Source organism: Homo sapiens, chromosome 6, assembly GCF_000001405.40.
Source record: "Homo sapiens chromosome 6, GRCh38.p14 Primary Assembly".
Lineage (NCBI taxonomy): Eukaryota > Metazoa > Chordata > Mammalia > Primates > Hominidae > Homo > Homo sapiens.
Window position 1 is genome coordinate 39,534,929 of NC_000006.12, and position 26,486 is coordinate 39,561,414.

Genomic DNA, 26,486 nt, shown 5'->3' on the forward strand with positions numbered 1-26,486 from the left:
TTTTCAACCCAGAATTTCATATCCAGCCAAACTAAGCTTCATAAGTGAAGGAGAAATAAAATACTTTACAGACAAGCAAATGCTGAGAGATTTTGTCACCGCCAGGCCTGCCCTAAAAGAGCTCCTGAAGGAAGCACTAAACATGGAAAGGAACAACTGGTACCAGCCACTGCAAAATCATGCCAAAATGTAAAGACCATAGAGACTAGGAAGAAACCACATCAACTAAGGAGCAAAATAACCAGCTGACATCATAATGACAGGATCAAATTCACACATAACAATACTAACTTTAAATGTAAATGGACTAAATGCTCCAATTAAGAGACACAGACTGGCAAATGGGATAAAGAGTCAAGACCCATCAGTGTGCTGTATTCAGGAAACCCATCTCATGTGCAGAGACACACATAGGCTCAAAATAAAAGGATGGAGGAAGATCTACCAAGCAAATGGAAAACAAAAAAAGGCAGGGGTTGCAATCCTAGTCTCTGATAAAACAGACTTTAAACCAACAAAGATCAAAAGAGACAAAGAAGGCCATTACATAATGGTAAAGGGATCTATTCAACAAGAAGAGCTAACTATCCTAAATATATATGCAACCAATACAGGAGCACCCAGATGCATAAAGCAAGTCCTGAGTGACCTATAAAGAGACTTAGACTGCCACACAATAATAATGGGAGACTTTAACACCCCACTGTCAACATTAGACAGATCAACAAGACAGAAAGTTAACAAGGATACCCAGGAATTGAACTCAGCTCTGCACCAAGTGGACCTAATAGACATCTACAGAACTCTCCACCCAAAATCAACAGAATATACATTTTTTTCAGCACCACACCACACCTATTCCAAAATTGACCACATAGTTGGAAGTAAAGCTCTCCTCAGCAAATGTAAAAGAACAGAAATTATAACAAACTGTCTCTCAGACCACAGTGCAATCAAACTAGAACTCAGGATTAACAAACTCACTCAAAACCGCTCAACTACATGGAAACTGAACAATCTGCTCCTGAATGACTACTGGGTACATAACGAAATGAAGGCAGAAATAAAGATGTTCTTTGAAACCAACAGGAACAAAGACACAACATACCAGAATCTCTGGGACACATTCAAAGCAGTGTGTAGAGGGAAATTTATAGCACTAAATGCCCACAAGAGAAAGCAGGAAAGATCCAAAATTGACACCCTAACATCACAATTAAAAGAACTAGAAAAGCAAGAGCAAACACATTCAAAAGCTAGCAGAAGGCAAGAAATAACTAAAATCAGAGCAGAACTGAAGGAAATAGAGACACAAAAAAACCCTTCAAAAAATTAATGAATCCAGGAGCTGGTTTTTTTAAAGGATCAACAAAATTGATAGAACGCTAGCAAGACTAATAAAGAAAAAAAGAGAGAATAATCAAATAGATGCAATAAAAAATGATAAAGGGGATATCACCACTGATCCCACAGAAATACAAACTACCATCAGAGAATACTACAAACAACTCTATGCAAATAAACTAGAAAATCTAGAAGAAATGGATAAATTCCTCGACACATACACTCTCCCAAGACTAAACCAGGAAGAAGTTGAATCTCTGAATAGACCAATAACAGGAGCTGAAATTGTGGCAATAATCAATAGCTTACCAACGAAAAAGAGTCCAGGACCAGATGGATTCACAGCCGAATTCTACCAGAGGTACAAGGAGTAACTGGTACCATTCCTTCTGAAACTATTCCAATCAATAGAAAAAGAGGGAATCCTCCCTAACTCATTTTATGAGGCCAGCATCATCCTGATACCAAAGCCGGGCAGAGACACAACCAAAAAAGAGAATTTTAGACCAATATCCCTGATGAACATTGATGCAAAAATCCTCAATAAAATACTGGCAAAACGAATCCAGCAGCACATCAAAAAGCTTATCCACCATGATCGAGTGGGCTTCATCCCTGGGATGCAAGGCTGGTTCAATATATGCAAATCAATAAATGTAATCCAGCATATAAACAGAACCAAAGACAAAAACCACATGATTATCTCAATAGATGCAGAAAAGGCCTTTGACAAAATTCAACAATGCTTCATGCTAAAAACTCTCAATAAATTAGGTATTGATGGGACGTATCTCAAAATAATAAGAGCTATCTATGACAAACCCATAGCCAATATCATACTGAATGGGCAAAAACTGGAAGCATTCCCTTTGAAAACTGGCACAAGACAGGGATGCCCTCTCTCACCACTCCTATTCAACATAGTGTTGGAAGTTCTGGCCAGGGCACTCAGGCAGGAGAAGGAAATAAAGGGTACTCAATTAGGAAAAGAGGAAGTCAAATTGTCCCTGTTTGCAGATGACATGATTGTATATCTAGAAAACCCCATTGTCTCAGCCCAAAATCTCCTTAAGGTGATAAGCAACTTCAGCAAAGTGTTAGGATACAAAATCAATGTACAAAAATCACAAGCATTCCTATACACCAACAACAGACAAACAGAGAGCCAAATCATGAGTGAACTCCCATTCACAATTGCTTCAAAGAGAATAAAATACCTAGGAATCCAACTTACAAGGGATGTGAAGGACCTCTTCAAGGAGAACTACAAACCACTGCTCAATGAAATAAAAGAGGATACAAACAAATGGAAGAACATTCCATGCTCATGGGTAGGAAGAATCAATATCATGAAAATGGCCATACTGCCCAAGGTAATTTATAGATTCAATGCCATCCCCATCAAGCAACCAATGACTTTCTTCACAGAATTGGAAAAAACTACTTTAAAGTTCATACGGAACCAAAAAAGAGCCCGCATCACCAAGTCAGTCCTAAGCCAAAAGAACAAAGCTGGAGGCATCACGCTACCTGACTTCAAACTATACTACAGGGCTACAGGAACCAAAACAGCATGGTACTGGTACCAAAACAGAGATATAGACCAATGGAACAGAACAGAGCCCTCAGAAATAATGCCGCATACCTACAACTATTTGATCTTTGACAAACCTGAGAAAAATAAGCAATGGGGAAAGGATTCCCTATTTAACAAATGGTGCTGGGAAAACTGGCTAGCTATATGTAGAAAGTTGAAACTGAATTCCTTCCTTACACCTTATACAAAAATTAATTCAAGATGGATTAAAGACTTAAATGTTAGACCTAAAACCATAAAAACCCTAGAAGAAAACCTAGGCATTACCATTCAGGACACAGGCATGGGCAAGGACTTCATGTCTAAAACACCAAAAGCAATGGAACAAAAGCCAAAATTGACAAATGGGATCTAATTAAACTAAAGAGCTTCTGCACAGCAAAAGAAACTACCATCAGAGTGAACAGGCAACCTACAACATGGGAGAAAATTTTCGCAACCTACTCATCTGACAGAGGGCTAATATCCAGAATCTACAATGAACTCAAACAAATTTACAAGAAAAAAACAAACAACCCCATCAGAAAGTGGGCAAAGGATATGAACAGACACTTCTCAAAAGAAGACATTTATGCAGCCAAAAGACACATGAAAAAATGCCCATCATCACTGGCCATCAGAGAAATGCAAATCAAAACCACAATGAGATACCATCTTACAACAGTTAGAATGGCCATCATTAAAAAGTCAGGAAACAACAGGTGCTGGAGAGGATGTGGAGAAATAGGAACACTTTTACACTGTTGGTGGGACTGTAAACTAGTTCAACCATTGTGGAAGTCAGTGTGGCCATTCCTCAGGGATCTAGAACTAGAAATACCATTTGACCCAGCCATCCCATTATTGGGTATATACCCAAAGGACTATAAATCTTGCTGCTATAAAGACACATGCACACATATGTTTATTGTGGCACTATTCACAATAGCAAAGACTTGGAACCAACCCAAATGTCCAACAATGATAGACTGGATTAAGAAAATGTGGCACATATACACTATGGAATACTATGCAGCCATAAAAAATGATGAGTTCATGTCCTTTGTAGGGACATGGATGAAATTGGAAATCATCATTCTCAGTAAACTATCGCAAGGACAAAAAACCAAACACTGCATGTTCTCACTCATAGGTGGGAATTGAACAATGAGAACACATCGACACAGGAAGGGGAACATCACACTCTGGGGACTGTTGTGGGGTGGGGGGAGGGGGGAGGGATAGCATTGGGAGATATACCTAATGCTAAATGACAAGTTAATGGGTGCAGCACACCAGCATGGCACATGTATACATATGTAACTAACCTGCATATTGTGCACATGTACCCGAAAACTTAAAGTATAATAATAATAAAATAAAATTAAAAAAAAAAGCTGGAAACAGGAAAGGTGTCTCTGAGTTGGCCCAACCCTGCCAAATGCTATTACGTGACAAAGTTTTATTAATTTATTGTCATTTAAGTCTGTGGTATTATTATTTTATTATTTTTGAGACAGAGTCTCACTCTGTCACCCAGGCAGGAGTGTAGTGGCCTGATCTTGGCTCACTGCAACCTCCACCTCTCGGGTTCAAATGATTCTCCTGCCTCAGCCTCCTGAGTAGCTGGGATTACAGGCGCGCACCACCACGCCCAGCTAATTTTTGCACTTTTTAGTAGAGATAGGGTTTCACCATATTGGCCAGGCTGGTCTTGAACTCCTGACCTTGTGATCTGCCTGCCTTGGCCTCCCAAAATGCTGGGATTCCAGGCGTGAGCCACCGTGCCTGGCCTGGTAATATTTTTAAATAGTTTTCCTGCAGATAGTTCATTTGGATTTATAAATAAACGCTGCCTCGTCATCATATCAGCAATATCTGATCTTATTTGTTCCCTTTCTCTAAAATTAACTTTTTTACTGTTACCCTGAACCCATCTATTCTAATGCTGAATTCTGAGAAAATTCATAGTTGGTTCCCCTCAGTTCAGTCATCAGTTTGGGAAAGTGGTATTTAATTTAAGATAATTGATAGTTATAAAAAATAATTCTAACAAAGAAATTGAGCCTTCATCCTGATACATGTAAAACTAAAGGGTGCTACATCGAAATCCATTACAGACAATGAGAAATACTGGAAATTTAGTCAACTGACCTATTTTCTTGTGGAGCAAACTGGATCTTTTCCCCAAAATGCTGAAGTCCTGGGCCTGTGAGGGAGCTGAGGATAGTCGCATTCTTTGACCTTCTTCTGGGTTTCCTAGGCGGAAGGGTGGGCTCTGGGACTGTCTGAATTCACGTCTATCCATGCCAGCCAAGTGGAGAGCCTCCTGAGCTTTCTTCTTTTCTTTTTTTAACATGTTGACCAGGATATCTGAAACTTGACTTAAGGATTTAATGCCTGATGCTAGCTTATAGTAATCAAAACACAAATGTCCTAAGTGTCATTAATGTTCCTAACATTTGCTATTTATCATGTGGTAAAGACTGAAGGAAGGCTTCAACTTCCTGAAGCCCCATATATAGCAATGGACAATTTAGGAGGCTTGCTTTCTATATAGCACCACTGTATGAAAAATTAGCAAACGCAAGGTCTTTACAATGTTCTGAGTTTAAACCAGGTACATCTTAACAATCTTATGAAAGTGCTTATAAAAAGTCAAATGAAGGCTGAATAGTAGTAGACAATAGGCTATGTATACATCTTCCCAGATAAAAGATGAATTTACTCACATAGCCCATGTATATGTATCAGCCCCCTGGGCGAGCACGCGCCTGCTCGGGAGGCAGCAGCAGAGCAGAGCGGGAGGATGGTGAAACCCACCCGGCTGGCAGATCAGCCGTCTTCATCCTGGCGGCCGGTGCGGTGACAAAGGTTCAGCCAGAGCACCCCAAGCTCAGCACGTGCTTATGTAGAGTTCACTCAGATGGGGGCTTTTTAAGCCACTAATGTTTGGTCTCAAATGTAACAGAAAAGAAGCGAATTGTTAGCACAGACATATCATTTTAAAATGCACCTTCTGTAGGCCATTGAGATATGCCAGGACCATTGATGATAAAGGATAAAACCACTCCCCTCTACCCTACTTCAGTGTTCATTCTGTGTTCACGATGCCTAGAACTCTAAGAGATTTTTGTCCAATCTGCTAAATGGAAAGACTGTAACCCCTACTGAGAATCTCAGAGCTCTAACTGCATATGGGGTAAGATGAATTCAATGCCTTTGCATCGCTAGAGAAGGCTCATTAAAATGGGAGTCTAAATGTGGTATGTGTCCTAAAGGGTAAACTTTTCAGAGGAAGGGGATACAGAGAGCACTGCTACTTAGAAAGGCGGACAGGTACCCAGATGATATTTATTCTTGGACAAGCAGCGTGGAAGTCATTTGACCTTCATCTTCCTCCTCAGCTTTAACTCCCACTTGGTGATTTCTGGAAGCATAATCAGGTTTGCTCTCTCTGATGTGGCTTCCATTCCTTGCCCCAAAACAACATGTACTTACCAAAAATGTTCACAGCTTCTTAGTGTCTAAGCATTAACATGACAGAGAAGAACAGGGCTCTGGCCGAACACGCTGCTCCTCTTTGTATGGAACTGATTACCAATGTCATCATACACTTCCATTGGTTCACACACTGTGATGGCAATATCCATCGACTCCATCGACTCACTCATTCAGTGATATTTGTTGGAGCTTGTGCTATAGATGCCAGGCCCTGTTCTAGGCATCGGTATAGAGCAATGACAAGGCAGAGTAGTTTCTTGCTCTCACGAAGCAGACGTCCTACTGGGGAAAGACGTCTCACACATGCATGCATGCACATGCACACACACACAACATCAGAATGCCACATACCTAATCTGAAGAAGGTCAAGGGTGACTGGGCAGCTGCTATACATTGGGTGCTACAAAAGGCCTAAGAGTGACCTTTAAGCTGAGATCTGAGCCATAAGAAGAACCAGCCAGAGGAAGAACATCAATGCAGAGGAGAAACAGGAAGTTTCCCTAAAGAGAAACAGGCCCGGAAGTGGCTCCCAATGCTACAGTCCTGTGATCCCACTTCCTACAATGCACAGGACAGCTCCTGAGATGAAGAATTATCCAGCCACAAATGTTGATAGTGCCAAGGCTGAGGAACCTCGTGTTAGAAGAACAACAAGAAGGTAACTGTGACTGAAGCCTAGCACACGTGGGACGAGGCATGAGAAATGAGGTCCGTGGGGGAGGGGATGGTGTAGGCAGGGCAAGATCATCCAGGCCCTCGTAAACCAGAGCAAGGAGTTTGGTTTCATTCTTCATATCATGGGAAGCCCCTTGAAGACTTTAATGAGAATAATGATGCGTTCTGATGTACATTTCATAAAGATCGCAATACGAATCTATCTTCTGTGCTGCCTTCCTTCTTCTCACCTTTCCCCTGTCTTCTTGTCCTCCCTATTCCCATTTATGGGAATGGCCTTTGTGCTAAACACTTTGCTGGGTCATGGATCCCCCTGTCATATATTTTGTGAAGGGGTGTGTGAACTTTATTCAAGCTGAGGATGTCACCAACAGGACATCATTTTCAGTCTCTTTCCAAGAAGATCTGATGTCGTTCGCAGTCATTTGGGTGCATTACTGTCTTTTGTGAAACTCAATTATAATCACTTTTTTTATTTCCTGGAAGCCATATCTTTCCCATTTGTTGTGTCACAGTCTTAGCCTTCTGGGTTCTACAAAGAAAGATATGAAAACATCCTCCAACCTGACTCTGAATAACTGTGAGATTTCAGGAGGTTTTCTTAGTCGTTGGTCTTTGATAAGCACAGCTTTGAGAGGATTAAATCTTAGCTGCTATTCTTCCTTCTTCTGAGATTGCTTATTGTCTTCATAGTCATAACTCCAATTACATCACACTCCGCAGTGCTCAAAGCACTTATGGGCTTTTCTCAGCAGGTCTTATGGTCCTGCTCCTGAAGAGTAGAAAGCAATGTCACTGAGTAGGTACAGAGCTAATAAATGAAGAGCTAGGATTTCAATCCAGGTATGAATTGAAGTGCAGTATTCTTTCCACTCTGACTCCCATACACCATCATTTTGAATAAGAGTGTCAGATGGAGGGAGCCCTGTTTGAATTGCTGACAGTTAGTAAAGAATCTAGGGTAACCCCACATGAATGGTGATGCCTGGATTCACCACAGTGAAGGAGGGGAGGTGATGGATATCTCTCTTTCACTCTCTTTTAAAAATAAACATATAGGAACAAACTTGGACTGTTCTCTCTCTGTCATATCTCATTTCATCCCTCCTATATGCACAGACATTCATAAGCCCAGAAGGGGATTAAGAAGTTGGTAGGAGTATTTAAAGGAGAAGATCCTAGACTAGGATCAAGGCCAGGAAAAGAAACAGAGCTCAGACTGGGGCTGGGGCCAGGACTGAGGTCCAGGCCGAGACCATGCCAGGAGATGGATGGTGTAAGAGGAAGGAAAAGGAATGTGAGGGTGACAACACCATGGGCAGCACTGACGGATGAAGGCTTGTGTGTGTGTGTGTGGGTGGGGGGGGATTCTCAGCTGAACCTACTGTTCCCTGGCCAGCTAAAACTCACTTGAATCTGACACACAGGATCTGCTGATACTCAAGTAAAATTAGAGACCAAAGTTAATCAGGCAACATGTCTACCTCCCATTTGGTTTGTTCTTACCTCTTTATTACTGGGTTTCCTTTATGTAGACTATTTTCATGCATTTTGCATAAATAGCTGAAGCTAAAGCATCTTTTGGTAATTTAAAAAAAGAACAAAAATATCTGTTTATAAAGAACTGACCGAAAGGATTTCTTGTGCATGTTTAAATTCTGCAAACGTAATGAAAATGTCAAATCTTTTTACAAGAAGCTTGAAAGATAAAATGAGAAACAATACCAAAGAAATATCTGGGAGGCCTGAGTTCCACCCAACCCCACAGGGGCTCCATAGAAGTAACCACTTCGTCTGCAACTGGAGGCAGCACATGCTCCCATGGGCTACTACCACTTTCAGCACCCAAAATACACTGCCTCTTGGAGCCAATAAGAATTCTATCTTATTTGGTACTGATCAGTTTAGCTAAAAAAAAGAATTCTATCTTGAACACTCATCTATACTCACTTCCAAATTTGGGAACATTTGTAAGTGTAACTCAAAGCAGTAGATCTGGCTTTTAAATAAAAAGTTACATTTAAATCAATCTCTGCTCTTCATAAGCTAAATACCATTTGTCATTTTTCAGCCATCATTTGAGTTTCACCCACGCACCAGCCACAGATTCTGGGCCATGGTGAGTCTGTGGTCAGCCTGTTGTCTGGTCAGCTTGCTAAAGATAACCAGCTAACTTACTGGCTCAGGGCTAACACAAAGAGAACACAACAGAGGAGCCAAAAAATATATTTTAAAAAATTAATGTTAAAAGATGGTGTAAAAAGGCTCATACTTTGAAATAAACTAAAATGTTCCCTGCAAGAGTAACTATGTCAGGATAAAAACAAACACATTTTTTTCTTTTATAGAAACTCTTTTTCACTGGTTGCAATACTTTGCTGAAGGGACCTTTGACTTCTCAATGGAAAGAAGCAATGTGAAATGGAAGCTGGGTGGGGAGCTCAGCCATGTGGCTCAGGAAAGACTGCTGTTTACCCCTTTCAAACCAGGATAGAGGAAGTTTCTTCATCACTTCAGAAAGGATACTGATTTCGTTATCTCTCTGTTTCAGAATATCTCGTAGCTTTCTATATTCTTCTTCTTTTAATGGTTCTTGACAATCTTGGTCTTTGCTTTCAGAGGAGACTGTATTGTTTTCAAGGATCTTCTTGTCATTCAATAGTTTCTGTAAGATAAAATAAGAGCTTAGTACCCATATCTCTAGTCCAAATTTCTTTGTTTCTTTGACTCTTTTTCCTTTAACAATTCCCTGCACACATCAGGCATGTGTGACCTGTCTGATGCAGGTGCGATGTCTTTGCGATGCAGTTGCTTTTTTGGCTTGGCATGTTTTCTCCCTTCTACCTGCCTTCTTTCCCCTCCTCCTTCCTCAACCCTCTCTCCCCATCTTATCTCTCCTTCCCTAAATTGGGAAATGCCTACTCAACATTATCTCTTCTTGGACTCCTTTCCCTTTCTCTATACATCATTCCACTTAATTTACACTTTTATTCTAGTACTTATCATGTATTGTGATTATTCTTTACAACATCTGTCATCTCCATGACTTGCTTATTAAACTTTGTCTTATCTATACCTGGCCCTTAGTAACTCACAACAAATGTTTATTATCTTAAAGAAGTATGCAAAAATACAAGTGAGCTAAAAGTAAAAGTGATTATATTCCCAGCCCCTTGTCATGAAAATTAAAACCTAAGGCAGAGAAAAACTGAAATATCATATGGGTATATCAAACTGCTGAAAAAATACAGAATGCAATTCTCTTGATATAGCTTGAAAATAGTTTTTTAAAAAATATGGAACTATTCTGTGTAGAAGGTAGAGATTCCTGACAAAAGAATTAGAAGTCCATGGCCTGAGTTTATTTATTGGCAAGTAAGATACAATCTCTGAAGAAACTCAGTGATAATCATACTATTGATTCAAAGATCGTACCATTTTCTGGACATGCAATGCTGGATCCTAACCTTCCAAGAACTGGTCAACTAGAAAAGTTTTTTTGCAGCTTGAACATGGCTGAAAATGGCTTCTATTGGGGAAACATTTAAGTTTACCTTTAAATGATGAAAACAGTGATGAACTTTACGCATATCCGCGCCAACCTCTAATCTACTGTCTGAATCCTGGTCTTCCAAAAAGGATGTTATTAGTTTTTCCAGCCTAAAAATACATAATGTATGAGAAGCAACTGTGAGCTAGAAGCTTTAAAAATTCTAATGGCATTATCTAGTTGGTTAACATTTGAAGTACAGAATATTGTTCCCACCTCTTTACAGAAGTACAGATTTGAGTATAAAAATTAAGGGAAAAGAAACATTGACAAAGTGAAATTTATAGTGAAGCCATTATTTGACTAATTTCCAGTGAATTTTCTTATGAAGCTTTCAATATAGAAATCATTTGATTTCTATGGTCCATCCATTCTAGCCACTCTGAATTTCTATGCCCCTGTGCCTGGCTGCTGCATTGCTAGAAAAAGTAATGAGAATGTATTTTAAATTAATTTCACTAAAAATGCATGTGACTCCGCTTCAGCTGGCACCTCAGTGATACCCCACTATTTTTTTAATCATTCCAGGTGATCTTCTATTCTTCACAGTGCCTATTCCAAATCTTTCTACAGCCCCCAAGCCTGCCACTACTCTTTCACTCTCTGTCAATAAAGTCACTTCTTTATTGGTGAAAGCCATGCAGACTCCTTTGTTTCCTCCTCCTTTGCCTCAGAGTGTCTCTGCCTCACTGCTCAGGCCCTCTTCCTGCTTTTATAGATTGTGGATATTCTTCCTCTTTCTGAAGGCCAGTTTCTCCCCTGGGCTCTCTCTCTGCTTCTTCCAGGGCTTATCTAGTTAATTACCTCTTTTCCCTTAATCATCTCTTTATCTCCTCTCTATACTGACTCCTTCCTCTTTGCTTACAATCATGTTGTTTTTCCTATCCTAAAACAAAATGAAATAGAAAACAAAACACCTCCCTTTGGAGGGACCATCCAACCACTCTATTCTAAAGTCCTAGTTTGGCCGGGTACAGTGGCTCACACTTGTAATCCCAGCACTTTGGGAGGCCCAGGTGGGCGGATCACTTGAGGTCAGGAGTTCAAGACCAGCCTGACCAACAGAGTGAAACCCCTTCTCTTCTAAAAACACAAAAACTAGCCAGGCAAATTGGCATGTGCCTGTAATCCTATCTACTTAGGAGGCTGAGGCAGGAGAATCACTTGAACCCAGGAGGCAGAGGTTGCAGTGGGTTGAGATTGTGCCACTGCACTCCAGCCTGGGCAAAAGAACAAGACCCTGTCTCAAAAAAAAAAAAAAAAAAAGTCCTAGTTTATTCATAGCACCACGTGCCAATGTAGCATTCTAGTACTTTGTATCAGAGGGAAATTCTTGGCTCTTATTTATCTTTGTTCTTCCCGTCCCCCTAACATTAGGTTCTCAACACAAATATGTTCACTAGTTACTGGATTCACTGCCATGGACATGGTTCCCCTCTAGGTTGAGATGGAACTCTTAATAAGGAAGGTTTAAGGATGACAATCAGTATCTATGATGTTATGTATCATAATACAGCAGCAGCATATCTTTCTAGTACTATTATGAAAATATTTGCATACTTTCAGCATCTTTTAAAACTGTATCTACACATTTCTCTTCTGCTGTTACTATCAGCCCACCCAGATAAAATGTAATGATTTCTATCATAGAACAGCCTTGGATTTCATTTGTACCTCTTGTAATTTGTGACATGTGACAGCTATATATTTACAAGTGTGAGACAATTTATACCGTTACTTTTAAGGAGTTTCTTTAGGTGAAGAGATACTTATTTGCACTATTTGCTGATTGACAGTGTGTTTCCTTTTGGATTAGAGCTTCAAACCATCAGATATACAGAGGGATTTATTCCTGATACATTTTTTAAAAAATCATGTAAATTATTATGAAAACACATGTTTATGAACAAAATTCCAAACAATGCAGATGTGAATATATTAAAAAGTGAAAACTCCTCCCACTCCCCTGCCACCATTCCCCTCCACCTTTTTTTAAAAAAATTTGATACCTTGGGAAATCCACTGTTAACAGTTAAAATATATTATTCTTATTCTTAATGAAGCAGATACCTATATTTATATATTCATTTATACATTTTGGTTTGTTGTTTTTACAAAAATGAGATCATAGTCTGAATAATGCTTTACATCATTATATTTCTAAAGCATTTATGGCAGATGAGCTTTTCCATCAGTGCATACACAGTAAAGGTATTTCATTTCTAATGGCTATATAATATTCCATACTATGGATGTACTACTATTCCTCTCTTGATGGACACTGAGGTGACATACTCATACAGTTGCTACTTTCCTCTGTAACCCATGATGAGACCTTGATCTACAAACCTGACTTAATGAGGTTTAAAAAATAGTAATGTTTAGCTACTTGTATTTTCCCTGAATACATAGCAGAAATTTTGAAATTTCAAAAATCACTGTGGGTTCTAGAATATACACTCGTTTTCTGGAGTGAAAGCACTTTGTGATTTCCAGAGTCCATAAAATTTCTAGCAGACAATATTAAGTTGGAAGTAATGGTTAATCAATTCTTTCTTCTTGCTTTTTCTTTAGAAAACAACTTTTGAATAGTTTAATCACAAGTACATATTCTAGGAAACGTTCTCTGAAGGAAGGCTGAAGTGGACTCCTAGCTCAGAAGGAAACCTCGTAAGATACAAGCCTGCTGATGAGCTGGACCACTCACAGATTGCTCACGTGCACTGGGCTTTGGTATTCCATCAAGGCTCCTCTCCCACACAGCAACACTGTAGAATACAAGGAGGACCAGGGACATGATCCAAAGAAATGGGCAAGAACTTCTGCCTGAGTAAAAGAACTGATCGCTTTACTCTTTCTGGGACTTGATTAGTCTAGTACATAACTAAGAATGAAGATCAGCCTTTTGACATGCTATTTTGCTTTCAGCACTTGAGAACACAAAGAAACATGCCTGGTCTTTCCTTCATACATTTGATTTACTGTTGGGTTTATTTCCTTATCAGGCAAGGACTTGGTCTAATAATTAAAATGCAGAAAAATGCTTAATTCAGATGTTTTCGTTGTACTCCTCTAGTAGTTGAGAGTGAACAAATGAACCCAAATTCCCCACATTTTCCTATCTACCAAAATAGTGTCCAAGTTTATACCTAGTCCCTGCTCCCTCTAAGGGGTCTCCCAGCTGCCAGAACTCTGCTGAACAGTGGAAAACTGTTTGCAGAAAAGTCTCGCTAAGGAGGTCAAGTGAGTACAATAAAGTCTATTTTTTAGGACAAGCCCAAGTCAACAAGAGCTTTCCTTATTCTCTACTTACACTAGAAGAAAAGAAGGAAGAAAAAAGAATCCTAGGGGAAAGAGAAAAGAAATACACACCATTCAGTAACAAGAAATATTGTAATAATTTAGTGTGTCTGAACACATGACTTCGCTGATGGTAGGTGATGGTTTGATGTCTGGTGACTATACAGATCTCAGCCAAATTGACTGCTAATGAAATACCTCTGACAGCCTGTGTCCTGGTTCAGCAACTCCATCATATTAGAAATTTTGATATATGGCCACATAATTAGAACTGACCATATTTCCTAACATGTGCTTTACCTTCTTGAGGCCACTGCACTCCCCTCTCTGCTCCTTATATTCCTTGTACAAAAAAAAAAAGCTCTCTCTGTAGCCATATGTCCCTAAAAATTTAGGTTTAATAGCATGAATAAAAAGACAAAGCAAGCTTCTCATCATTAATGACAGCCAACATTGAGCATGCACTAAATGCTGGACACTCTTCTGTGCTATTTGCATATATCATTTCCTTAATTTTTACAACAACCCATGAGAAAAGTGCTATTATTATCCCCATGTCATAGGTGAGGAAACTGAAGCACAGAGATATTACGTATCTTGTCCAAGCTCACACAGCAAGCACACAGGTAAAATCCAAGTTTTGAAGCACAATACTTACCATACTATAACAAAGTTACTCAAAGTATTTGAATACCATATTGGGTGATGTATTTCTAAAAGGGAGAACCCACACCTGCAAGCATTCATTGAGGAGGCAAATAGGTGGACGAAGAAGTGGGAAATAACTGAAAAGCAGTTGCTTAGATCTTAGCAAGGCCACGGACCCCCATGACTTGTAACGGCAAAAAAAGTTGGGAAGGAATCAGAATGTGCTGTATTTGAAGATTACTTAAATTAATTATGGCATAGCTATGTACATAGTTAAGCAGCAATTTAAGTGACGGCAAAGTGTTGTACTTATTGACATTAAAAACACTCATACTATATATGGATAGCTTAATGATGAATCCCTCTGCAGGGATTCTGCAAGTACACTGTAACACACATAAGAAGACTGAAGAGACAAAAAGGAAGGAAAGGCATGAGGGAAGGGAGAGAGGGAGGGAGGGGAGCAGATCAGCAGTCCCGAAATTTTTGGCCAGCTAGTTGTCTTTGGCTCAAGAACATTCATCATCTTTTGTTGAAAAAAGAGACCAGCGACCCAAGCTAACCTCACTCTTCTTCAATATTTTTATGATTATGTTATGTTTAACTGTTTTAAAAAATTCATCATTTATACATTGAGTGTGATTAAGATGTTCTCATTATTCTCAAATAATCTTTGTAAAAAAATATGAACATGTTCGTGTCAGCAGTGGGTTCTAGAAATTGGCTAGAAACCATATCTCTATGGCACTGGCTGTGGGAAAGTTGGGAGAACAGAAGAGTGGGATATTAGAAACAAGAGCAAACCTAACCCAGGGCATGGAAATGCTGGCTGTTTCCAAATAACTGGGACAGCAATGGGAGGTGTGCCCCAGGAGTGGGAGGGGAGCCTGGTGCTGTAACTGGGGCAGAGATAGCAGAAGCATGCAGCAGCACAGTATTATTCTAGAGAATTTACTATAAACAAGGCTCGGGGGATGCAAAGCAATGGGACTGCATCCTCTAATATCAAGCTGGAAATAGTGAGGGGGATGAAAAATACCCCAGTTGGTGGGGCAGAGCTTCCCTGTGGTAGAACCATGGAAATTGGTATTCCAGAGCTGATGGTTCTTAGCTCAACTGTCTCCTCACTGGTTTGGGGAGACGATTTGACAGCTCATTCCAGAGAGCTAGAAAGGAGTTCTGATTTATAAAACTAACTTGTATTAATTATACCAAATACATATCAAAATCTGCCTCACTGCTCTAAATCATTTTGCCACTTAAAGATGTCTCCATTGAGGGTGAGTTGTCTCTGACAGGGTTAAACATGGGGATACTGACAAACTAAAGCTACATATTACCTGAGCAAAGATCGGGAAAAGAATGGGAGATAGTGACAAAGATATAAAAGGATGTAAAGGATTATTTTCTATGGCTGAATAATACTCCATTGTGTACACACACCACATTTTCTTTATCTATTCATCTGTTGATGGACACAGGTTGATTTCATATCTTGGCTGTTGTGAATAGTGCTGCAATAAATATGGGAGTGCGGATATCTCTTCCATATACTGATTTCCTTTCTTTTGGATATATACCCAGTAGTCGGATTGCTGGATTGTACAGCAGTTCTAGTTTTAGTTTTTGGAGGAAACTCCATACTGAAATCCTGTCATTTGCAACAACATATTTAGAAATGGAGGATATTATGTTAAGTGAAATAAGCCAAGCACAGAAAGACAAATATCACATGTTGTCACTCACACGTGGGAACTAAATAAAAAATTAACTCATGGAGATAAAGAATAGAATAACAGTTTTCAGAGGCTGGGAAGAGTAGTGGGGAGAGAGAGGATAAAGAGAGGATGGTTAATGGGTACAAAAATATAGTCAGAAGGAATAAGATCCAGTATTCAGTGGCACAATGGGGTGACTATAGTTAACAATAATTTATTGTATATTTCGAAATAACTAAAAGAGTGGAATTGGAATGTTCCTAACACAAATAAATGATAAGTGCTTGAGGCAATGGATATCCCAATTCCTCTGATTTGATTATTACACATTATACGTTTGTATCAAAATATCACATGTCCTATAAATATGTACAACTAATATATATCCATAATATTAAAAATTAAAAAAACTTTAGAAAGTATAAAAGGAAACTTGATAATTATTAACTTAAAGGAATATGATAACTAGGAAGAATTGAGAGAATAGTTACACAATTTAAAAAATTGACTGTGGTAGCATAAGAAATATGGCAGAATGATTGGTTGAATGATCTTCATTCATCAACCCTCTGTGGGTTAAAACTTTCTCATTTGTAAAATGTGTAGAATAATACCATCTTTACACTATTAGCTTTACGAAATCAGATAATGCAAGGAACGAAGAGAGAATACGCCTGGCCTATTAAGGCTTTGCTATTCGACTGGACCAACTTTATAGGAATCGGCTATGAGACTTTTGAAAATATAGAATTTTCGGCTCCATCCCAGACCTCCTGAGTCAGAATCTACATTTAACAACATTCCCAGGTGATCTGCATACACACTAATGTTAAGAAGCATTGCAACAAGGCAACTGGTTATTGAATGTTGACACAAGAATACATACACATCTTTTCAGTTCGGAACACCAAACAAAGATGTAACTGGAAATGTTCTGTGAAGGAGGAACTAACATCCCTTGATAGTCAACCATGTCCTGAGCACTCTGCTAGTGACTTTACACATGTTTTCTTATTTAAGTGGAAAAAGAGCCCTTTAGGGACTATCATAGTCTGGTTCTCTTTATACCCGCCTTGTCCCAGTTATTTTATTATTACTTTCATTCAATATCCATTAAAACATGTCAGGCACTTTCACATATATTTTGTTATTCATCTGTTCCATAAGTCTATAAATTATTATCACTCTTTCACAGATGGGAATAGGAAAGCTAAGAGAAGTTCAGTAACTTGCATATTGTCACTAAGGTAGGAAATTGAAACACTGAGATTTGAAAACAATTCTTTTGACTCAAGAATCCCCACTCTTTGCATTCATACTACAAAGACTCTCAGTTAATTCAGAAAAGTGCTTTCCACATGCCATAATCTCTGACATACTATATTTGTATTTTCAATTTAGAATGTTCCTGTGAACTTTTAACCAGGAAAGATGCAAACAACATAGTTAATGAGAATATCAAATAAACATAATGAGATCATCAAATAAATAGTAACTAGTCTGCCATATTAAAAAAAAGAGTTTTTAACAGGCTGAAATGGTAGGGGGCAAAGGATGGGGTTCTTTTTGGGATGTGGCCCTTTAAAACATACAGTATTGAGATAGCAGGTAATGCACAAAAGGAAAGTTCAGATAACAATAAATTCATAATTATGATTAACTACATAACTACACAATCCACCAAGGACATGAAAAGCTGAAGGCTGAGATTGTGCCAATAGGACTATGACCAAAGGAAACTATACAAAAATTTTTCAGGGTCATTAGTTTCATGTTTGCTTTTTCTGAGATTCTGCTGAAAGAATCAATTCCAATTGACTTAAAAGTAGTCACTTCAAGAGTTTTTCCTTTTGCAGTTTCCTGGTCTGTGACAGGTATTATATACATTATATGCTCCCCTAGCCCTAACCAGTTAGTGAAAGACATGGACCCTTACATGCAAGGAATTGAGTTCAATGTCAGCAACTCTGTTGGAATGAGCTCTTTTTTTAAATAACAGTAGGGGGCCAGAAAGTTCATGGTTTTGGTGATGCAGAGGAAATTCCTATAGAGTTTTCCTTCTGTAGGGTAAATTCATCTTAGTAATGCATATTTCCTTCACCTCAACAAAAGCACAGTCATGTAGTACCTCAAATGCAGAAATGCACAACTTCTTGATACTTTTAGTGATTTGAAATAGCAAATGCGAAAAATCAAAATTAAAATCCAGACTGGTTTGCCTTTTTAATGGTGAAGATAAGGCCTATTTATAGGTGCATGTATGCATTCATGGCCAGGTACTTCTGTTTACAGAATTTCAAAAACTATTTTGAAATAATTTTTAAATAAACTAAGACAACTTTAAAGACAGTAGGGCATATTTTACAAGGTCCTTTAAATGCAATGATGAAGGGTTTTGAAAAGTTATACGATTGATTTTGTTTTTGTCAATCCAGATTTTCATATATCCAATTTACTTAAAGGTATATATGTCTTATGACTAAACATTTTAAATTCAGTAGGTAGAGACGGGCTCAGGAGTCTAGAACAAATGTAAATAAGAGATGAAAATAGCTGGCCTGGCTGAGGAGAAGCAGAGGCTGGGCCACAGGCACTGCTGCCCCTGGGGACCTTAAGTGGGATACGAGAAGTATTTGAGACTCTCACCACCAAGCTCCCACCACTTCTGTAGGAGGCCAAGGACAGCGTGCTTGACCTCAAGCTGGCAGCTGACATCCTATCTGTGTGCCAGAAACCGCAGGTTTACAGCATTACCAATGTATTGGAAGGCATAGGGCTAATGGAGAAAAAATATCCAAGAACAGCATCAGTGGAAAGGCATGGGGCCTGGCTGCAATAGGGCTGGAGATTGCAGACAAGCTGACTGAGCTCAAGGCAGAGATCGAGGAACCGCAGAAGCAAGAGCAAAAACCGGACCAGCACAAGGTGTGGGGGAAGCAGAACATCTGGAACATCATAGCTGCTTGGCCTATGTGACTCATGAGGACATGGGTAGAGGCTTTGCTGGAGACACCCTCCTACCATACTGGCCACACAGACCCTGTCTGGTAGCAGCCCACAGGCACCCATCCCAGAAGTCCCCAGTGGGCAACAGTAAGAGATTCACCTGAACAGCCTGACTGGCCCCTTCAAGGCTGGTGAACAAGGAGGCATGGAGCTCACCACCTGTGGCTGTGTCTATGCCGTCACCCTCCAGAGCCCACCTGCTGTCTCTGGCCCTCCATCTCTGCCCAAGCCTTCCCTGTTCCATCTCCAGGAAACCTCACATGCATGTAGGACTCAGTTGACCACCCCTTACCTCTGACCCTGACAGCTCCGGAGCCCAGTGGTGAGCTGAGCTCACTCCCACTGGGCCGGCAGCATGAGACACTGGCCCCCTGCAGTCTTCTTTCCTGCTGGATAGCAGCAGCTGCAGCAATGATACCAATGCATCAGAACCCAACCCCGCTATCTCCTTTGAACCCCTCAAGGCAGACCCTACAGGCATTCTGGAACTCCCCGAAGAGCTGCCACTCTTGGATCTCACACAAGAACACATGAGCTCAGAGCTGCTGGAGGCATTGATGTTCTCAGAAATATTCTCCCTCCTCCTCCATCTTTCTCCATCTGCCAAGATCATGAGATCATGGTTACACCTACAACCTGGATGAGAGTAAGGGTGTCTGTGACCTCTTTGATGTGTCTATTCTCAGCCTCTGACTGACAGGGACATGTCCTGTGTGGCTGAGACACAGACTGTCTGACCTGGAGGCTGCCTGGGGACCAACCCCTACCCCATCACTACACAGCTTGAGAGCCACAGGCTCTGGACTTCTCCCCGCCCCCCTTCACTGCACAGTTCTGGCCACAAATCCCACTCCTGCACCAGCACCTGGACTGTCTTAGAGATCAGGGGAAAGCTCCAGCCCCCTGCACCATGAAGCCAAAGTGTTTGCCTCTCCTTTTCTGGGGCTTTCCCCACCTCATGTCCTCCTGGAGCCCTCCCCAAGCCCAGTTTGGCTGACACCTAGTGGCACAGAACCTAGGACCCACATTCCACCTCCCAAGGCAGCCCGGCCAGCCCAATGTCCTGCTCCAGCCATGCCCCTCCCCCTATACCCATATGGCAGGGGAACTGGATGCTGGCCAGCATCACCCCAGTGTCTTTTGCTGCCCCCCACCCTCTGGCCTTACGGCTCCTCCTGGACCTCTTGTGTATGCTACCCTGCTGGGCCCTCAGCCCCGTGTACTTGTAGGGGGTAGGAGTAGGGGTGGGGGAGGGTGCTAACAGAATGGAACAGAGGTCTCTAGCTAGGACTCTGGGTGGCTCAGTCCCTGAGGATTGGCCTAACCTCCCACGGTCCCATAGCCTCCCACTCATTTCCATTTATTCATTTACCTTTATTTAGAGCCATTTGCAGAGAGTTAGAAAGATTTACAGTAATGAGGCCGGGTGCAGTGGCTCATACCTGTAATCCCAGCACTTTGGGAGGCTGAGGCAGGTGGATCATTTGAGGTCAGGTGTTTGAGACCAGCCTGGCCAACATGCTGAAACCCCGTCTCTACTAAAAATACAAAAATTAACCAGGTGGTAGCGGTGCATGCCTGTAATCCCAGTTACTCGGGAAGCTGAGGCAGGAGAATCACTTGAGCCTGGGAGGCAGAGATTGCGGTCAGCCAAGATCACCCCACTGCACTCCAGCCTGGGCGACAGAGTGAGACGCTGTCTCAAAAAAAAAAAAAAAAAAAAAGAAGATTTATAGTAATGAATGGATTCTTACATAAAGATTATTTTTATACTTTTTGCAGCAAAAGGAAATTGTAATATTTGTACATGCCCAAGTGAGTAAAGATCATGCCTATGGCTAAAAAACAAGAGAGAAGAAAATTAGATAAATTAATCAATCCATAGATACTAATAACTCCCTCTTTAAATTCTACATTTACTTTTTGAACTTCTTTTTTCTGTAGGCAAACACTGTTGATTGTGTTTAATGTTAACACAAGTACACTCATCTACATAAGTCTATAATAAATAAGAAACTGACTTACAGGAAAGAGAATGGTGGTGAGGTGGGAGTGGAGAAGGGAGTCAGTGAGCAGGAGATCTAGCAGCAGGAAAATGTGGAAGATAAGCCACATTCAGGAAGGGGGAAATGACAGTCAACAGAAACAAGGTTTTAGAAAATAGAAGAGGCCTCCTATCATCATGACGAAGGCTGAATGAGCTGTGAAAGAGAAGTTAAACTGGCTTCGAAGCTGACAAAAGAGTGTAGTAGAGAGATAGCTACCTAGGGAAAGGACTGGGCAAAGAGGCAAATCTGAGACTGTTGAGAAGCCACCAAAGCAGCCCCTCTGACCAGAACAGGGGCCAGAGATCAAGTCTGAGGATCAAGGAATGAGAGGCAAGACGGCCGGTGGGAGAACAAGGTTAGGAAGGTGGGAAAGGTGGGAAGGAGTGGAGAGAAAGACAGGCCTCAAGTGGATAAAACTAGAGCACACCTTTGAGAAAGAAGTTTATTGGGAAATTTGGGAGAATAAGGGCCAGTTGGAAGTGGGCTAGCCCTACCAAAGCTATTTATCTCCATGGTTAAAGTTTCCAAACTAGGGAGTTTCCTGACAGTTCATTAATTTGATGGAGTAGTGGAAGCTTTACCCATCCTTTGCTCCAAATCTCTGAACTTCTTTTTCTATGGTTCTGTCTTGTATGAAATTAAATTTGTAGACAACATTGAAGTTTAGAAATATACATTTTTTTCAGCTGTTTCTTTAGCTGAAATTTTTAAATAACAGCTTTGGTTTATATATGAAAATGCAGAACCTACATACATATGCACATATATATGTGCACATATATATGTATATGATTATATACATAGATATAAAATTAACGGAAAACTTGTAAAAGTTTTAAAAGACATATTAAAAGGATTTTGTTATGTAAAAATGCAAAGTAAATCCTTGTGGGTGTGTTTCCATTTGATAAAAAATAATGTATTTTATCCTTTCATATGGAAAACAGTATATAGCTGGAAACGTGTTCATGTAATATTAAATCTAAAGCAAGTGTATGTAAATTGAATCATACATTATCATTGAGTTCTGTATTAATTGAAGATGGGTTTACAAGGCAAAGACAGATCTTAGGATGCAATAAAATCTGATAAAGAGTATTGAAAACTTAAGTGTTTAAAAGAAAATGACCATGAAATTGTTAAAACAATGATGCAGGACCTACAAAAAGGAAAAGTGCAAATTTAGAGAGCAAATGAAGAGGACAAGAACATACTGGGAGTTTTAGTATGTTCCTGAATGGGAAGATGCAGGATTGTAATCTCTCCTTGAATTTAACAATAAAAAAGTAAACCTAATAAAAGTCCCATTGCAGTTTTGTTTTCCAGAAAAAAATACATATACAGAGACAACCAACAAAATTTTGTATATATTTTTTTTGGACGGAGGGGTCCACAAATCCTCAGAAGTCAAAAAATGAACTTTTGTATAGAAAGCCCATAGAACCTCTGTTGGAGATGTACACATATACAGATATAGAAAGACGTCACAATTAAATGAAAAACACAAGTTAAAAAACAGCAAATAAAGGATGAGTCCATTTTTATTAAAATATATATTTATATGTATTCATTAAAAATTTTGAAGGATTACAACCAGTAATAATACTTGTTATCTTTGGTGAAATCACAAGTGATTTCTATCCCCCTTTTTTTTTTGCCCGTTATCACTTTTGTACAATGAATGCGAATTGTTCACAAAATAAAAATCATAAAACTCTTACAACTCTCACAACTCTCAGAGCAAAGTTTAAAAAACTCAAAAGGTAAAATTCTAAAATATATTATAAATTATAAAAACATATAATTTATAACTATTCAAGTTACTTTCCTTAAGCTATAGGAGAGAGATATACCATACTTGCTGTTAGGTTCTTGAAATGAACTCCACAGTGAAAACCCAAAGCTGTTCCTTCTGTTGCTTCCAGACGGGTTTGATTTGTTGATATGATCTAATTACTTATTTTATGGTCCTGCTTACAGTGGTTGGTGACTATTTCTGCATTTGTTTATCCATCCTTTGTGCAGGCTATCAGGAACCAGGTGTTAGGGATTGATGTAATTTATTATTTCCATAAGTGCACATTTTCACACTGTGGGTTTTCTTTAAGTGGTAGAACCCATATAAAACTGTAATCAGAATAAACATTTGTTTCAGGAAGTCTTAAAAATATCCAGCTCTACACATACAAAAAGATTTTCTGTGAAAAGCATACTGGGGAAAGCAAGAGAGAAAGACAAATATTCTTGGTTGTGATGAAGGGTCCCATTTCTTGTTTTAAAGAATTTCCTGGAGCTCACAAAACCCAAAGAGCAAGGAACATTAACACTGAGAAAGCATTAAACAACTGGAAGAATAAAACAGTATGTTCATGTTTTCACACTCAAAACTTTCTAATTTAGAAGCAAGTACTTGGACTTCTGATGAAAGAGCTGTCTAGGCCAAAAGAATCCAACATATCAGCCATAGTCCAACAAATGGAATTGCCATTTATGCCTCATCCTTTTTAAATTTGCTTTTGCTTTTCATTCATTTGGCCTATTAGAACCCAAAACACTTAATTAAACTTTAGGAGACTAAAATAATCATTAAAATACAGAAACAGCCCTGAGATGGAGACAGGCCTTTTTAATCATATGAGATAACTATTTCTTAAGAACTCAAATGCTTCCATAAACTACCCAAGGATAATTAATACAAGCTGTAGACCATGCTTTTAGTTTTGGTTTTAATATCTTCAAAATGTAGTGTCAGGACCAAAAACACTTTGTACCAAAGTGGAGAAATTTCATCTATAGTGAATTATATTTCATGAATGATTTTAGAGATCTGATTTCTTATAAAATGCAAGGGAGCCATTAATGACCTCTGGGATATTTAATCCACAAAGTTTAGGTTATTGCTTTATAGACAGCCATTATTAGAAGCTGGTAAGAAGGAGCCTAGGAGTCAAGGGATATGAATTCAGGACTAAGTTAGCAGATAATCTGCTAAATTTTTTTTTTAAAACTGCCCAATTACTTGGGCCTCCCCTCTTCAGGTGGTGTGAATTAATCATTTGGTAAATACTGATCATGATGCAGGATGTTTCTCAATTCTCAACCACTGGGACATTTTAGAAAAGGACTATATTTGAATTACGTGACTTCTGCAACATGTCCCTAAAATGACTATTTTCCACAAAGAACACAGAAAAGGTGCTTCCTCAGCCCACATTATCAGTAAATATGATAATGCTTCCTCAGCCCACATTATCAGTAAAAATGAGCTGAGATGGCCAGGTAGAGATTGCAAAGAGGAATTAAATTTGCTTAAATTTGCCATTGCATATAGGGAGAGTCTAACAAGACAGGGAATAAAAAATCAATAATATGCTATCTCATTTACATTTATTCAGAGCGTTTATTGACTGCCTATTGTCAACCAGGTGTTGGTTATATAAAGATGAATAAAACACATCCAAGTCTATCCACCTTAACTTCCCTTGGATTTTGGCCTTTGAAAACCTTTGAGGTTGTGTTAAGTGGTACTTTAAAAAAAAAAAAAGGTATAACAGCAAATATCAACTAACTAACTGTTTTTAAGGCAAAACTATTCATCAAATTATGAAAATAAAAATATAAACTCTGATCATATAAAACAAAGCTAAAATAGGGTTGCAAATATTGCACCAGACATATTTATACAAAACATTATTTGTTATTTACTTGAAATTCAAATTTAATGAGGCATCTTGTATTTTTAGTTGCTAAATCTGGCCACCCTAAGCTGAAAGCCAGAAAACCTGCAGGCATTCCAGCTTGGAGCTGACCGGTGGGTGCTCACTGCTGGGATGTGTGGACCCAGGCATGAAGAAAGGCCTCAACAACTGCTCTTAGTCATTAACTCATTTACCAGTAATAAATTGAAGTTAGGCCCAGTGCTGCTGCTCTTATTCTGAAAGAATAAAACGTAGTGCAAGCATTGCCCACAGCATCTAAATGTTTCCCCACTAATAATATACTACATTTTCAATTGATTTTAAAGCTAATAATTCAGAGAGCTATAAAACTGTTTAGAACCCTTAGGGGGCCAGAATTTGTGAAGACTGATTTTCTCAGGCAAGAATCCAACTTGATAGAAATCTTTGTAAGTCACATCACTTCTCTGGATCTGTTTACGCATCTTTAAAATAAGGAAGCCACACTTACGGCTTTGCTCATATTGATTCCTCTATCTGAAATGTTCTCCCTGTCCAGCTTTGCTTTTCTAAATCTTGTCTTGATTCACGAGTCTGCACATCCCTGTTCTTCCCAGTCAAAAGTAATTTCTATTCCCCGCAATTACCCCGGCACTTCTCTTGTGACAGGTAGAATTTTGACTTTATATTATAGATATTCACATACTTATCTCACTTACAAGATTGAAGGTCTCTGAAGCCAGAATCTGTCATTAATACATCTTTGCAACCCCACCCTTCCATCCCAGCTCATTTTGTTTGCTGCCAATGTTGTGGGCTAAGTAAGTACCTTTTCTGTGTTCTCTGCAGAAAATAGCCTTTTTAGGGGCATTTTGCAGAAGTCATTGGCTGAGCATTTTCTGATTCAAGACAGACTCTCTAAAATTTTGTGCTTTGTACTAACCTGAGCAGTAGCAAACAGGAGTAGAAATAGCTAAAGCAATGAAAATACTGTTGCATACACTCCTGAGATTATGTAATTGCAGTAGGAAGTCTCTGCATTATGGAAGGCTGACTGGGGGCACTTATGGACTATGCAGATAATCTGCCTTTGCAATATAAGCAAGGATCAGCATCAAACCAGAAAGCATGGCCAGTATGAGTGCACAGCATGCACCTGAGTCAGAAAAGGCAGAACCAGACCATGAAAGAAAAAGTACCTAAGCAAGAGTCACAAGAAATCCTACACTAGTAGAGAATTGGCAGCTAAAAATAGTCCTACACACTAAATTATTACAAATCTAGATTACATTGAATATTTATGAAAGTGAGTTTAAGTCATAAAGTGTTTTTCAAGAAAAGAAAACTGAGAATGTTAAAAGGAGAATATTAAACTCAAACCATTTTTTTTTTTTGAGATGGAGTCTCACTCTCTCACCCAGGCTGGAGTGCGTTGGTAT

General features: G+C 39.3%; 1 protein-coding gene and 1 pseudogene across 9 annotated transcripts in view, besides 2 other annotated features; one reads left to right on the top strand and one right to left on the bottom strand.

Moving 5' to 3' along the window:
- Positions 1 to 26,486, bottom strand: part of KIF6 (kinesin family member 6) — a 395,419-nt gene that overhangs the window by 204,939 nt on the left and 163,994 nt on the right. For 7 of the 9 annotated variants that reach the window (XR_001743238.2, NM_001289020.3, NM_145027.6 and 4 more), the window contains exons 11-13: positions 10,655 to 10,760; positions 9,627 to 9,765; positions 5,075 to 5,293 (exon numbers count right to left, since the gene is read on the bottom strand). Coding sequence is in view for 8 of the 9 variants with exons in the window: in NM_001289020.3 (NP_001275949.1) it covers positions 5,075 to 5,293; positions 9,627 to 9,765; positions 10,655 to 10,760 (464 nt within the window). In the remaining variant the exon portion in view is untranslated. Of the gene's footprint in view, positions 1 to 5,074; positions 5,294 to 9,575; positions 9,766 to 10,654; positions 10,761 to 23,086; positions 23,498 to 26,486 lie in introns of those variants that run through there. The other 2 variants (NM_001289021.3, XM_011514361.3) reach the window with 2 other exon arrangements.
- Positions 5,567 to 5,744: a silencer, noted in NCBI's record as "fragment chr6:39508271-39508448 (GRCh37/hg19 assembly coordinates)". NCBI's record gives its function as "represses an EF-1alpha promoter that drives an FKBP-Casp9 reporter gene in an ReSE screen in K562 erythroleukemia cells {active_cell/tissue: K562}" and the evidence as "EXISTENCE:reporter gene assay evidence [ECO:0000049][PMID:32094911]".
- Positions 18,892 to 19,642, top strand: E2F4P1 (E2F transcription factor 4 pseudogene 1; annotated as a pseudogene).
- Positions 19,973 to 20,875: an enhancer, noted in NCBI's record as "H3K4me1 hESC enhancer chr6:39522677-39523579 (GRCh37/hg19 assembly coordinates)". NCBI's record gives its function as "activates a minimal SCP1, AML or CMV promoter by ChIP-STARR-seq in naive H9 embryonic stem cells {active_cell/tissue: H9 hESC(naive)}" and the evidence as "EXISTENCE:reporter gene assay evidence [ECO:0000049][PMID:30033119]".